The sequence below is a fragment of the Homo sapiens genome, chromosome 7, assembly GCF_000001405.40.
Source record: "Homo sapiens chromosome 7, GRCh38.p14 Primary Assembly".
Lineage (NCBI taxonomy): Eukaryota > Metazoa > Chordata > Mammalia > Primates > Hominidae > Homo > Homo sapiens.
The window spans coordinates 117,251,115-117,266,074 of record NC_000007.14 but is presented as its reverse complement, the minus strand read 5'-3'; the positions used below and the strand labels follow the sequence as shown (position 1 = coordinate 117,266,074).

At 41.2% G+C, this 14,960-nt stretch overlaps 4 pseudogenes, besides 1 other annotated feature; 2 read left to right on the top strand and 2 right to left on the bottom strand.

Moving 5' to 3' along the window:
* LOC100421782 (heterogeneous nuclear ribonucleoprotein A1 like 2 pseudogene) lies at window positions 1,183–3,257 on the top strand (annotated as a pseudogene).
* On the top strand, window positions 1,545–1,682 carry MTCYBP6 (MT-CYB pseudogene 6; annotated as a pseudogene).
* Window positions 1,681–2,180, bottom strand: MTND4P6 (MT-ND4 pseudogene 6; annotated as a pseudogene).
* Window positions 2,242–2,549, bottom strand: MTND2P37 (MT-ND2 pseudogene 37; annotated as a pseudogene).
* Window positions 14,067–14,336: an enhancer, noted in NCBI's record as "active region_26545". NCBI's record gives its function as "activates an Ori minimal core promoter by ATAC-STARR-seq in GM12878 lymphoblastoid cells {active_cell/tissue: GM12878}" and the evidence as "EXISTENCE:reporter gene assay evidence [ECO:0000049][PMID:35858748]".

Below are 14,960 nucleotides of genomic sequence, written 5' to 3'. Positions count from 1 at the left end.
GGCCAACATGGCAAAATGGCGTCTCTACTAAAAATACAAAAATTAGCTGGGCATGGTAGCAGGTGCCTGCTATCCCAGCTACTCAAGAGACTGAGGGAAGAGAATTGCTTGAACCCAGGAGGCAGAGGTTGCAGTGATCCAAGGTGGCACCATTCCACTCCAGCCTGGGTGACAACAGTGAAACTCCTTCTCAAAAAATAAAATACAATAGTTTTTAGATTCTTGCAGAAAATCTGAGACTTCTGGTCACGAAAAATCTGTTTTCTCTGTCATGTAGAGAGTCCATCCACAGTTGATGATGGTTGTAAAATATTATGTATCAACTTAGACATGGTATGAATCATAATTTAAGAGTTTTCTCCAAGCCCCTGCCTAATGCTTGATTACGCAGGTCGAATTAACAAGAATACAAAAATTAGCCAGGCTGAGGCAGGAGAATTGCTTGAACTCAGAAGGCAGAGGTTGTAGTGAGCCGAGATCCCACCACTGCACTCCAGCCTGGGCAACAGAGCAAGACTTAGTCTCAAAAAAAAAAAAAAAAAAGAAAGAAAAAAAAAAAGAAAAGAAAAGAAAAAGAAAAAAGATTAAGCTAAAAGATGTTTGAAAGAGAACACCCAGGGCCAGGTGTGGTGGCTCACGCCTATAATCCCAGAACTTTGGGAAGTTGAGACAGGCAAATTGCTTGAGCTCAAGAGTTCAAGACCAACCTGGGCAACACAGCGAAACCCCATTTCTATTAAAAAAAGTACACAAATCAGCCAGGTGTTTTGGCATGCACCTGTAGTACCAGTTCCTTGAGGGGGCTGAGGCAGAAGGATTGCTTGAGCCCCGGAGGTCAAGGCCGCAGTGAGCTATGTTTGCACTACTACACTCCAGCCTGGATGACAGAGCAAGACCTTGAAAAAAAAAAAGGGAGGGAGGCAGGAGAGAGGGAGGAGGGAGGGAGGGAAGGAAGGAGGGAGGGAAGGAAGGAAGGGAGGGAGGGAGGGAAGGAAGGGAGGGAGGGAGGGAAGGAAGGGAGGGAGGGAGGGAAGGAAGGGAGGGAGGGAGGGAGGGAGGGAAGGAAGGAATTACCCAGAAATTAAAAATATAACCACTGATATGAAAAACTCTGTGATTTTCTGCCTGTGGCCACAACAGAGGAAACACAGTTAAAGTCTCCTCCTGTTGCAGTCATGTCTTAGTCAGTGTCCCAAAGAGCCCAAAGAACTGCAGAAGCTCTTCATTAAAATAATCATAAGAGATGGAAGAGCCATTTTCAGTAATGGGAAATGCACACAGATTGTGTGGTAATGAAAGACGCACACACTAAGCACTCCAGAATCTTTAGGTTTGTCATATATGCCACCATGGTGCAAGCAGATTCAGTCATGAATGGAAGTCCACACAAGGTGGTGGAAGAGTTGTGAAATCAAAGAGGGATATTTTTTAAAAATTTTACCAAAGACCAGGTGCCCAGTTACCTATGAAAAAGATCTTTGTGGCATTAAGGAAGACATTGAAGAACAACATGTAAGAGATTATTTTGAGCAGTATAGGAAGATTATACAATCTTACAATCCATTCCTAATAAACTAGGAGTTATACTGGCCCTTCTATTCGCTCTTCTCATTCTAGCAGTTATTCCTGTACTACATAAGTCCAAACAACAAAGCATAATATTCTGCCCATTAAGTCAATGCTAAGGGTGAGGGTGAGCTGTATTATACCATGACCACCTAATTTTAGGAGCACTGCTGCAAGTACTATTGAGCCAGCAATGGGGGTTTCTTCTACATAAGCCTCAGGGAGTCATAGGTGAAGTCCATATAGGGGTATTTTTACTATAAAAGCTATGATACATGCTAATCATATGAGATTGTTGGATCAGGAGACTAGTAGTTCCTGGGTACTGAATGTCATTATTATATTTAGTGAACCTAAGGTATTTTGGGTATAAATAAGTATAATAAGGGGAGAGACCCTACTAGTGTATAAAATAGGAAATACGAGCTTGCATTGAGGTGTTCTGGTTGGTTACTTCAGCAGATAATAAAGATTAGTGTAGGGATAAGTGTAGCTTCAAAGAGAATATAAAATATGATTAGTTCTGTGTCTGTGAATGCTATAATTTAAGAAATCTGTGGGATAATTAACATAGAAACATAAAACTTTTTTCATGGGGGAGGGGATTCATTGGACGGGTGATGTTCAATGGCTTTGAAGGCCATTGGTCTTGTTTAACCTAAATTTCTAGATCATAGATAGTGTTAATGGGGAAATGGGTAAAAGGAAGGTAGAAGAGATAAGTGGGAGGAGGAATAATGTGGGCTTTGTGTTTTCAAACTGTCATTTTATTTTTATGTTATTGGATGTGGGGAATATTGTCACTGAGCCAGAGTAAATTAAGCATATGTAAAAGTATAGGTTGAGTAGGGTTATAATAGCTATAATGGTTGGGGAAATAAGACTGTTGTTTTTTGTAAGTTCTTGAATGATGACTCATTTAGGCAGAAATCCTGTTAATGGAGGTAAACCTCCTAGGGACAATAAAATTAATGTAATTATAGGCTAAGCCTAAATTCCATCCCCTTATCCCAATCTTCATTAAAAAAAAAACAAAAAAAAAACCCCGCTCTACAGAAGCAGCCACTAAATATTTCCTTACACAGGCAACTGCATCTATCGTTCTCATAACAGATAATACATAGCAGTATAGGAAGATTGACTGAAGTGAAATCATTACAGACTGGGGCAGTGATGAGGAGAGTCTTTGCTTCTGTAAACTTTGGTGACCATAAGTTCATGGATAAGATTGTCATTCGGAAACAACATACTATGAATGGCCATAACTGTGAAGTAGGGAAATCCCTGGCTAAGCAAGAGATTGTAAGTGCCTTATCTAGGTCAAAGTGGTTCTGAAAACTTCAGCAGTCGTTGTGGAGGTTATTTTAGAGGGAATGGCAACTTTAATTATGGAGGAAATTACAATGGTTGTGATAGCTTTGGTGGCAGCCATGATGGTGGTGGATATGATGCCAGTGGGGATAGTTATAATGGTGTTGGTAATGATAGAAGCAATTTTGGAGGTGGTGGAAGCGACAGTGGACAATGGCAATTACAATAATCTTCAAATTCTGGACCCATAAAGGAAGGAGATCATGGAGCAGAAGCTCCGGTTCTTATACTGGGAGAGCCAATACTTTGCCAAACCACAAAACCAAGGTGGTTATGGTTGTATTAGCATCAGGAGAAGCTATAGCAGTGGCAGAAGATTTTAATTACTGCCAAAAAAAAGTGCTTAGCAAAAGAGGAAAGCCTGAAAAATAACAGGAAAGCTACAGGTTACAACAAGTTTATTAACTCAGCCAACTGCGGTGGCAGGATCTACATCCTACAAAAAGAGATGCTTTAGAACATACTCCTATGAGCAAAAATCCATAAAGATAGTTCTTGTGACTAACTATATAACAGAAATTTTAGTTTTTTTCCTGTGGAAAGTATGAAGCATTACAACAAAAGTTTTATAATATACTTATTTTTGTATGCATATTGTTGATCACTATAAGAGTCTGATCTTGATGTTGATTAAATAGGTCTTTTTAAAAAAACTCAGTGGATGTTTTTCTGCTGATCAGAAAAAAATAGATTCAGCTAAAGAAAAAGTTAATGAAGTAGGTAAGAGATAGATTTAAAGAAATTACCCAGAATGTTGTCCAAGATATAAAGAAAAAATACAAAAGGGATTAAGAGACATGAAAGATTGAATGAAAAGGTTCCTCATATACTTATACTAGAAGTTCCAGAAAGAGAGAGAAAATGGGGAAAATGACTGTTTTCCAGAATGGATGAAATATATAAAACCTGTTTCAAGAAGCATAACTACCAGGTAGAATTAACAAAATAAATCTATAACAAAACATATTGCTGAGACACTGTAGAGAGTAGAAGAAAAAGAGAAGACACAAAAAGCTACCAGAGAGAAAAGTTGTCTAAAAAAGAACAATAATCAAACTAATAGCAGACTTTTTCAAAGCACTGATAGAAAGCAGAAGACAATGGAATCATATTTTCAAATTTCTTGAAAGAAAATAAATGTCAACGTGTAACTTTATATCCAGCTGAATTATCATTAAAGAGCAAGGACAACATAAAGACATTTTGAGACAAAATCTACGAAGAGCATACTCTGTCTAGGAACTTCAGGAAAAAGGAAATATATTCTAAAAGGAAGAACTGAGATGCAAGAAGATATGATGAATAAAGAAATTTGTACTTGTGCAGTCAAATGTAGACAATAGTGAATATTTAGAAATAACTAGTAATTACTAATGTCTGGTAATAAAACAAAGTGAAACAAAGTGAGACAAAGTATTGGCAACAATATCAAGATGGAAATGGAGTGATCAATTTTAAGCAGTTTAACTTAAATTGTTTAGAAGGGTAGAAGTATTGATAAACTTCAGGCATTGTTAAGTAAGCATGTTAAAATTTAAAGATAAACATTATAACAAAAAATGAATAATTTATCTCACAGAAAGATGAAAATAATTTTTACACCTCTTCAGTCAACCTAAAAGAAGGAGAGTGAATTTGTATGTGTGGATGTGGGAAGGACTTACTGAAAGCTGGGCAACTGTTTAGGGTAGTAGAAACTCATAGCAGAAACAAAAAATACTTAGGAATAAACAGTAACTGCTATGCAGAACTATTAAGACAGAAACCTACAAAACTTTAGTAATGAAAAGGAGATACTTTGAATGAATGGAGATAATACAACAATAGACCTAATATTATAAAACGTCAACTTTTCACTAAAATTAATCTAATCTATAAAGCTACAATTCCAATACACATTAGCCAAGGATGATTGGGAGTATTTCCTTTAGGCAGGCTCCCTCCCTTCTTCCCTTTCCCTACACCAATTTCTCTTCTCACTTCTCAATCTGGATTCCACGATAAAGCACTCAGGCATACAGCAAGTATTCAATAAGTTCATACGCTTTTTCAAATAAAGGAATGAGTAAACATAAGACTCAACTGTTCTTCAAGCAATTCTGATGTACACGTTCAAAAAAAATTCTCATCATGCCTGGTACAAATTCATACCATAAAGGTAGTACCCAGCTTTGAATCTCTCATAAGTATGCAAACCAAATTCTTGCCAAGATTGTTTTGTAAATTGGTTAAACTGAAATTATTGTACGTTTTCTGAGAGCCACAAATAGATTACAATATTGACTTCTTAGTGTTAATCTAATGAAAAATAACCTGCAACAATTAAAATACAAGAATAGGAGAGCATTAACTATGCTTACTACTTCCAAAACTCTTCTTAAAGTCAAGAAAACTCCAATTTTATGTAGTAATTGCAATAGCCTGCTATTTATCACGTGGCTCAGAAAGTGTCTTCAAGTAAGTCTGGCGTATATATAATGACCTGTCCATGAAAGCATCAGAAACTCACACTCTGATTTCCTGTGGTTGAGTAAAAGGATCTCAAAAGCCTAATGATCCCTAAGAGCTGGTTGTCTTAAAACACTAATATTATCATGCTACTAGAATTTTCTTCCCTTATACTCTGTCCCTACTCCCATTACAAATGAATAACTAGAGCTTGAAAGCTGGTATAGCTGGTATAACCCTCTTTACCAGATTTACACATTTTCCTCCAATCCTAATTAGTAGAAATCCAAGATCTCTCTCTTGAGGCTCCCACTGCAAACTATCCAAGAATCCCCAAGGCTCATTGAATCTAAATGGGTTAGTATTCCCAAGCAGCCTAACTGGAAAGTCTCTTTAGCCTACCAGCATTACTGCTTCTGTTACTTACATAGAACCCCATTATTGAACACTGGCCCTGCAGAGTTGCAAGGACTCTAGCTCAAAGATCAGGTATACTCTTACCAGTGCAGATCCCTGAACAGCCCAAAGCTCACACTTGGGTCCCAAGGGCATAGCTCTTTTATTTTTCACTCACATATTCAGCTATTGTTCTCAAAGAATGACAATATGTCTTGGTGGGTAGATCCATGGGTTCTTCAGCCTCACTTACATGTTTTGCTAGAACCTCTCCTTCCCAAAGAACCTCCATGCTTTTATGTTGAACGGGAATCATGAGCAGACACTCTCATAATGAATTCCCCTTAGGGGACCTTGAGATCCTTTCATGCCAGCAGATATTTTTTAGGGCCACACTCTTAAAAACAGATTTCTCTAATTCAATTCTTAGGAAGATGAGGGTGGAGTCTCACAGTCATTCCATACTATAAGCCTCCAGGGATCTTTTTGCAAACTGATAAACCACAGGAATTTTTCAAAGATTCTGCTATGTCCTCACCCCATGGTAAGGAGAGTCTAGCAGTGTTCTTATATTAGCATAACTAAGTCTGGGTATGCAAATGACTCCTTTCATAATGAGATCCTGCTCTAAATTGATTTGTGTCTTCATTTTATACCTAGTATTTACAGTACACAGACCCACTAGCTTAAAAACCTCACCCATGCCTTCAGGTAAGAGGTAGTAGCCTGGAGGAGGCCAATCCTCCCACTGTGACAATTAGAAAAAACAGTTTTCAAAAACTTACTTTTTAAAGACATTGAAGAGTTGTAGAAGCAACTCAAGGACAAAAAAAAACTAAATTCCCCTGGAAATTTAGTCTAGTCTTCTTGGGTAGACTCTCTGCTGGCCATTTTCTCCTCCGGTTGCTAATTCTAGGCACAAGTTGAGGTTTGGACCAAGCAGAGAGTGAAACCAGGCCAATCTTACTTTAAGTTTCTATTCTTCCCTCTGTACAACCTACCACAAGGATCACAAAATGTGAGTTTGTTGCTTAATTACATCATGCTAAGAATGAGGGACGATTAGAAGCCATTGACAGGAGAAGTGGTGTATACACACAGACACATGCACACACACACACACACACACACACACACACACACACACACACACACACAGAGTTTACCCTAAGGACACAATGATATAGATTGATGATGCTAATTTAAGGGTGGGTGGGAGTGTGGGAAAAGTGGGAGGAGTCAGGGATGTAAATACAATCTTCACACTCCAAAATGCTGGCACCAGGCTCCCTGATGTCAAAGCCAATGCTTCAGTAAGAGGATTCTAGCTCATCTGGATCAGCCTGGGGTTGCGGGTACAGTAGTCCTCACTTATGCTTAAGAGATACGTTCCAAGTGGATGCCTGAAACCTCGGGTAGTACTGAATCCTATATACGCTACATTTTTTCCTATACATACACACCTATAATAAAGTTTAATTTATAAATTAGGCAGAGTAAGAGATTAAGAATAACTAATAATGAAATAGAGAAACTGTAACAATATATTGTAATAACAGTTATGTAAATATGGTCTATCTTTCTCTCTCCAAACATCTTATTGTACTGCCCTCACCTATTTTTGGACCACAGTTGACTGCAAGTAACTGAAACTATGGGAAGAGAGAAATCACAGATAGGGTACGTAAACCAAAAATAAAATTCCAAGTCCCCCAACCATCTGAATAGAACCCATGGCTCAGCAAAGGGCATTCCAGAGTTAACCTGGAAAACTAGTTCAGGACATGATGGCAAGAGGGAGTCAGACATGCCTCATTATACCGTCCTTCCTTTTGAAATTACTGAGAACAGACTCTTTAAGTCTGATTAAAAAAAAAATTTACCATCTATTCCCTTTGAAGCCTGCTACCTGGAGAATTTGCCTGCATGATAAAACTCTGGCCTCTACAAACCCTTATCTTAACCCAGACATTCCTTTCTATTGATTCTAAGTCTTTAGTTAATAACTTAACTCTTTCAACCAATCGCCAATCATAAAATCTTTGAATCTACCTATGACCTGAGAGCCCCCACGTCCAGTTGTCTCTCCTTTCCAGACTGAACCAATGTACATTTTACATCTATTGATTGACGTCTTGTGTCTCCTTAAAATGTATAAAGCTAAGTTATGGCCCAAACTCCTTGGGCACATGTTCTCGGTATCTCCTGAGGGCTGTCACCGGCCATTGGTCACTAATATTTGCCTCAGAATAAATTTATTCAAATATTTTACAGGGTTTTACTCTTGTCATTGACAGGGGACTACTGTATGCCAAACATGAAGATGTCCTTAGGTGTGTGGCATGTGTACTGGGGAAATTAGCCCCTTCTCTATATCAGTGACTTTTAATCTACCATCTACTATGAGTGCTGTCCAACAAGAAGGTCTTGATGACCTCTATCAGAAACACACTTGTGGCATTTAAGAGAGAAATGGCTGGGGGAGATATGGGTAAAAATGTGAGCTAGTGGGGCCATTACCTCAATAAGCAGGCATCCCTGAGTGAGAATGGACTGGAGACTTGAATCTGCACTTCCCTCAGTTACTGTCCATGCCTCTGGGCACAGCCTGTCTCTCACTCGAGCTCCCGAGCCTTCTAGGTGTGAATTTTGTATTTAGAGATATTGTTGTTAGGTATAAATGGCTCTTTTAAAACACAAACCAACCATCCCTTAAGGGCTTGGGGAAGAATAAGCAATGTGTTTTAACAGTAGAAGAAAATCTATGTTGAACTGTGAGAGCAGAACTACACTATCTTCAGATCTTCACAAGGGAATTTCAAGGGTCGTTTGGATTATACTTTAGTACATGCTCTCTGGGTAAACTGGGTCTCAACTTGGCTTGGACCACCCAAATATAATGTGCTACCTCTCTAAGAACTGCAGCCACATGCATAACCTATCCCCCTCAGAATGCCCTATGACACTCACATAACATTAGGAAGGTAGAGTAACAAATTCTTGCTCTTATATAAGTCTAGTTGAATTTTTAAATGTGTTTTCATTGGTTGAGGCTATGAAAATCCAAAATGCCCTACTAGGCTGTGGCTGTACTGGCAAGCAGAGATCTTTTCTCCCCTGGCCCCCTTATCTTGCAAGATGCCCACACCTTCCTGAATGTGGTAAACAAGTTCTGGGTGAGTTCTCTTATGCTGACAACCCTTAGACGTTAGTGAAACCCTCTGGAGTCCTTGAGAATGTATGTGAGGGAACATTCAAGTAGATAACCAGAGATGTTGGTTAAAAAACAAAACAAACAAACAAACTGGGTCCCAGCCACCCGCTCCATCCTGCCCCTTTGGACCCACCCTGGGTTGGTGTGGGGGAGACTGGGCCCTATCCCAGATTAACTGAGAATTTCTGGAGATGGGCCAAGGTGTTGGTATTACTTAAAAGCTCCCCAGGGGATTACAATAAAACCGAAGGTTGAGAACCATTGACATATATTATCCCAATACATCCTCTTAGCCATACTGTCAAATAACTTGGATCAAGTCAAAGCTAGTGAATAACAGCAAGTTGGTGATAGTGAAAAACAGCAGTTTCCAGTCTCCAAGTGAATGTTTTCCCTGACTACACAGTAAACAGTTATCTCTGAATTAGTTCAACTTATCAACTCTGCCGATGGTAATCAAGGGTGAAGCTCAGATCGTTGGGTATCCTATACCATCATGGTACATTAGGGGCAGGGGACAGTGCAGGGAGAGAGGCCACATTTGAAAAGGAAGAAAATTCCAGAATTCCCAAGTGTTCTATTTCTGAAGGGAGAATCACTATTCTACTAGTTATCCAGGCCCCCAAATCTCGGAATTATCCTTGAGTCCTACTTTTCATATAATCTCTATGTGCAACAATTTCTGTGTATTCTTTGTTTGAAATATTTTTCTCTTCCTCTTCTTTCTCATTGCCACCATCCAAACCAAGGCCTGTATCACTTCATTTCTAAATTATTAAATTGAATGCTCAATGAGGCTCACTGGCACCAGACTTTCTTCTCATCAATCCACCTTGCTCACTCTTTCTAAACAAATCACTCTAAAAGTGTTTCCATCGTTTCTCTGCAGTCTTCCAAAATCTTCATTGGTTCCTAATGCCTAAAATGTCCAAACCCCATACTCTTCCACAATCTAGCCCATACTCCCCCTCCAAATCTGTTCCGCATGAATCCTTCTAGTCTAACTACTCACTGCTGCTTAGACACACCAAGCACATCTTCAGCACACACGGTGCCTCCTGTGTTGGAAAGAGCTTTAAAGTGGGATGATTCTGCATTCTGATCCCCATTCTGGGTAAGACTGCAGAGTTATCTAATCCATCTGAGCTACAGTTCTTCCTTTGCCACAGTTGAATAACAATAGTGATTCCATACAATGGTTGTGGGGATTAAAGAGTGAAGGGGTACAATGATACAAGAGGATATGGTGGATATTGGACATGGTGAATATTGTTACTACTTTGCTTGCTTACACAAGTTCCCTAACTAGTAGTGACCCCTGTTCCCCTTTCTTCCTGGGCTGGGTATGAATATACTGTCTTTCATCTCCAAACCACTACTCAGTGCTCAGCTCTGGCCATTTGGCTGAAGCTGCAAACCATATTTCTGCTTTGCCAGCCACTTCTTGGTCGGCTCCTCAAGAAGATGTCAGAGGGGACTACAAGGCTGGAGGAGGAGAAAGAGAGGGGATGTGCTCTGTCTGCTGGATGTTCCTGTCTGTTATTTCAGCAACAGTTCCTCCTGCAGCAGAAGCAGGTTCTAGTTTACAGTTTTCTCTCACCCTCCAGACCAGCCTCATTGTGGCTTTAAGAGACACCAACACCATCAGGCCAGGACTGCCACCTTAGCTCCAATTTCTAATTTCAAAAAATCCCAACCTCTTCCCTCTGTTCTACATCTAAAAGTGCTAGCTGCTTCCTGCACCTCCTATTTCTGCAATAGCCCAGGGTTCCCTTGATGTTCTCCAGTTCTCTATATTGAATTGTCCGTTTCTGTAACTGGTGTGTTTCCTGACCAGGTCCTGGCCGGTCCACTTCCTGTTTCCCCTCCTCTGTGGGGGAATACACTCTGCAACTGGATACACACCTCCCTGCAAGAAGGTCTCCATGGCCACCCCATCCTCTGAACTCTACAGACCCTCAGACTCACCACAGAGCTGGCATGAACCTCAGAAATGCATTTCTTTTCTTTTCTTTCTTTCTTTCTTTCTTTTTTTTTTTGAGACGGAGTCTTGCTCTGTCGCCCAGCCTGGAGTGCAGTGGCATGATCTCAGCTCACTCCACCTCCCAGGTTCAAGCAATTCTCTGTCTTAGCCTCTTGAGTAGCTGGGATTACAGGCACCCACCACCACGCCTGGCCTGCTACCACGCCCAGCTAATTTTTGTATTTTTAGTAGAGGTGGGGGTTTCATCATCTTGGCCAGGCTGGTCTTGAACCCCTGACCTCGTGATCCACTCACCTCGGCCTCCCAAAGTGCTGGGATTATAGAAGTGAGCCACCGCACCCAGCCGAATTTCTAATATGACTCTCTTGTCTTGCACTTGAAGAGGCTGAGTTTCAGAAGTTACCGTCAAAGGCACAGCCTCCACCTGTGCCTGCCTTCGAAGACAAGCTGCCCACGTGGACAATTCACTAAGAACTCAATCTTCTGAGGCTCTGAAGCACCTCTTTAAGTACCATCTAAAGTATCATCCAACTGATGCTGTTCAGCTAGGCACCTTTCTAAAGGAACACAACTGTGAGTCACTGGGCTCCACAGAGGACTTGGTCCTATATGAACACCGTGTATGTGGGCGTGCAGAGAAGACTCCAAATAAAGTCTGGTGAATGAACTATTTAATCCAGAACTTCGAGCATGCAGAAAGGATGTCCATGCTCTCATATGTTCTAGATTATTGCTAGCAAGGACCAACACCTGTATCCAATAACATCTGGGAAGTGTAGTTTTATGACCTTCATAGATGCTGAAAGGTCTTCTGAGTTGTTTTCTCTTTAGATGTAACAAAACAGAAGCTTTACTAGAATTTTATAGGAATACATATCCTATTCACTAGACAAGAAGTGCATGTAAATTCACAGCACAGTTATATCAGGTGATGTTTCCTCACTGACAGAATTTAATATTAAAAGTTATAAATAAAGTCTCAATGGGACAAAACATTTTAAAGAGGTTGCCCAGTTTTCAAATTTCCTTCCATAAATTTGGCTGCAATGTGATAACCTCACATTATGCAAAGGGAGTAACTAACCCAATGAGATGTTTTTTCTGTCAGTTACCAGGGCTGTGCAGGGCTGTGTCAGTCTGACACAGGGACCACGTCTAGGACTCAGGGAGTGTGACCTGATCCTTGTCGCCTCCTCTGCAGAGCCTGCCTTCAAAAGAAGGTAGTCTCCGCCTTGGGATCAATTTGTGAAACAAGTCCTGTCAATGTGCAGCTGCTGGAGGGATGGAAAGAGTGGGGACTGAAGGCTGCCACACAAGCAGGCTGCTCTCGCCAAAGGAAGGCAATGGAGGATCAAGTGAAATGTGTTAAAATGTAACTTTGGCCTATGCTTCCTAATTTCTTTATATTGATTTGGAAATTTTCATGGAAAATGAATTTGGGGGGCTCATATTAGCCAGATAATTAATTTCTTTCTCTGCTTTATTTTTTCTTTTGAATTGTTGCCAGCCTTAGAATTGAAGAGTAAGTGTCCAGGTGACCAGAAAAGCATATGGAGAAAAGATTGAATGCAAACATGTACTAAACACACTATGTGCCAGACACTGGGGGAAGCACTGAGTAGCCTATGGCAGAGGTAGGCTGCACATTAGAGTCACCTGAGGAGTATTTTTAACAACCCAAAGCCCAGGTTACACTCCATACCAATTAAATCAGAATGCCTGGGTGGAGCAATAGTTTCCGCAGATTCCCCAGGTGATTTCAATGTACCATGGAGACTGGGAACAATTGATCTAGGCCCTAGGGGGAAAGAGAGTGAACTTTGGAATAAAGCCGACCTGGGTTCATATTCCAGTTCTATAGCTTCAGGCTGTATCATCTTAAGGAATTTAAACCTGGCAGGGTGTGGTGGCTCACGCCAAGGCCGAGGCAGGTGGATCACGAGGTCAAGAGATCAACACCATCCTGGCCAACAGGGTGAAACCCCATCTCTACTAAAATACAAAAAATTAGCTGGATGTGGTGGCGGGTGCCTGTAGTCCCAGCTACTCGGGAGGCTGAGGCAGGGGAATTGCTTGAACCTGGGAGGTGGAGGTTGCAATGAGCCAAGATTGCACCATTGCACTCCAGCCCCATGACAGAGTGAGACTCCATCTCAAAAAAAAAAAAAAAAAAAGAAATTTAGACCTTTTGAGTCTCAGTATCTTCCTTAGCCAATGTGGATATCAATATCACTCTGAAAAAATAACAATACAGTCATGCGTCGCTTAACAATGGAGATACAGTTGGAGAAACATGTCCTTAGACAATTTTCTCTTATGCAAACATCATAGAGTGTACTTACACACACCTAGAGGGCATAGCCTACTACATACCTAGGCTGTGTGGTACAGCCAATTGCTCCTAGGCTATAAGCCTGTACAGCATGTGACTGTACTGACTACTGCGGGCAATTGTAACACAAGGATAACTATTTATGTATCTAAATATAGAAAAGATACGGTAAAAACAGTCTTATAATCTTATGGGGCCACCATTGTATATACGGTCCACGGTTGACCAAGACATTATGTGGTGCATGACTGCAACCATTTACAATTCAAGGCAGGATGAATGAGGAACTAATGGTAGTGCAGTATGGGAGAGACAAGAGGAGCAAGCTAGTTCTGTCCAGGAGCATCAAAGAATGCTTCTCAGAAGAGTGGCGATCCATCTGAGCTTTGACTTATGAGAGCTTTCGGATGGGCAGAAAATGAAGAGAAAAATCTTCCTAACTGAAGGAACAGTAAGTGGAGGCATGGGAAGAAAAACAGCAGGTTCAGGGATCAGTGGGGAGACTCCTGTGGCAGGAGCCAAGGGGCTTGGAGGTATGGGGGGGGAGATGTGTCAGGGACACCATGGAGCCCTTGGGTCCCCTCCCAGGAGCCAGGGCCTTTCCCTTTACATGGTGAGAAATCAGTGCAAAGTCGGCGATGGAAATGTTAGGACTAAACCCGTGTTTTAAGGTTGAAAAGAGGGGAGTTTGGAGGCAGACAAGCCAGGCAGAGGGTCATGGGAATGAATCAGGCATGGATCAGGGAGGGGAGTTAGGCCCTGAATTGCAGAATGGGTGCAGAACTTTCCGGCCATCTGGCACTAGGAGCTACTGATTCACTTTGGGAATTCAACCGCCAACATTTCTGTGTGCATGGCTGGTTGGTGATGTCATTTACACAGACAGGGGCTTTTTAGGGGAAAGACATTGAGTTCAGTTTGAAACTGGAGCAAGATGTCAGATAGGCAGTTGAAAATGTAGCTCAGCAGCTCAGCAGCTCAGCAGCTCAGCAGGGATGGGGGTAGCGTCAGGAGGCGGTGGGTGGGAGAGAGTGAAACAGTGAAGGGACCCTCCAGAACCACATAAGAACTTTGAGAGAGGCCTCCATTTATGGTGGCAAAGGAAGACACGGACCAGAGAGCTTGGAGAAAACCCTCTCCAGACACTCAAGAAAGAGTGTCGCAGAGGATGAAGGAGGAGAGTTCCCAGGGCTTGGTGGTCAAATTCGAACTGGAACACGGGCAGTCATCCTTTTCCCTTAAAAAACAAATCCATAAAAGCAAGCTTGGTGGTATTAAAAAAATAATAACAACAACAAGAATTAGGGCCTGTCAGAACAGAGTTTGGAGGATTAAAGAAGGAATGTGTGAAGAGATACCAGAGGCAGAATGATGCTCAAAAGCCCTAAAGAAGGGAGTGAGTAGGAAGACGCTGAATGGCAGGCTAAGGGAGAAGCAAGATTGAAGAGGGCTGGTTTCTAGGAAAACATTGGACTATTTAATTAGGTCAAGGAAAAGGGTGCCTGGACATGGAGATGGTAGAGAAAGAGACGAAAAATGGGATGTGTTAAGATCTTGGAGCAGATTGGAGCCAAGACAGTAAGAGTGCAGATAGAAGGAGAACTTAGGCTTGGAAGAAGAAAATGGAGATCAGGATTTCTTGAAGGATT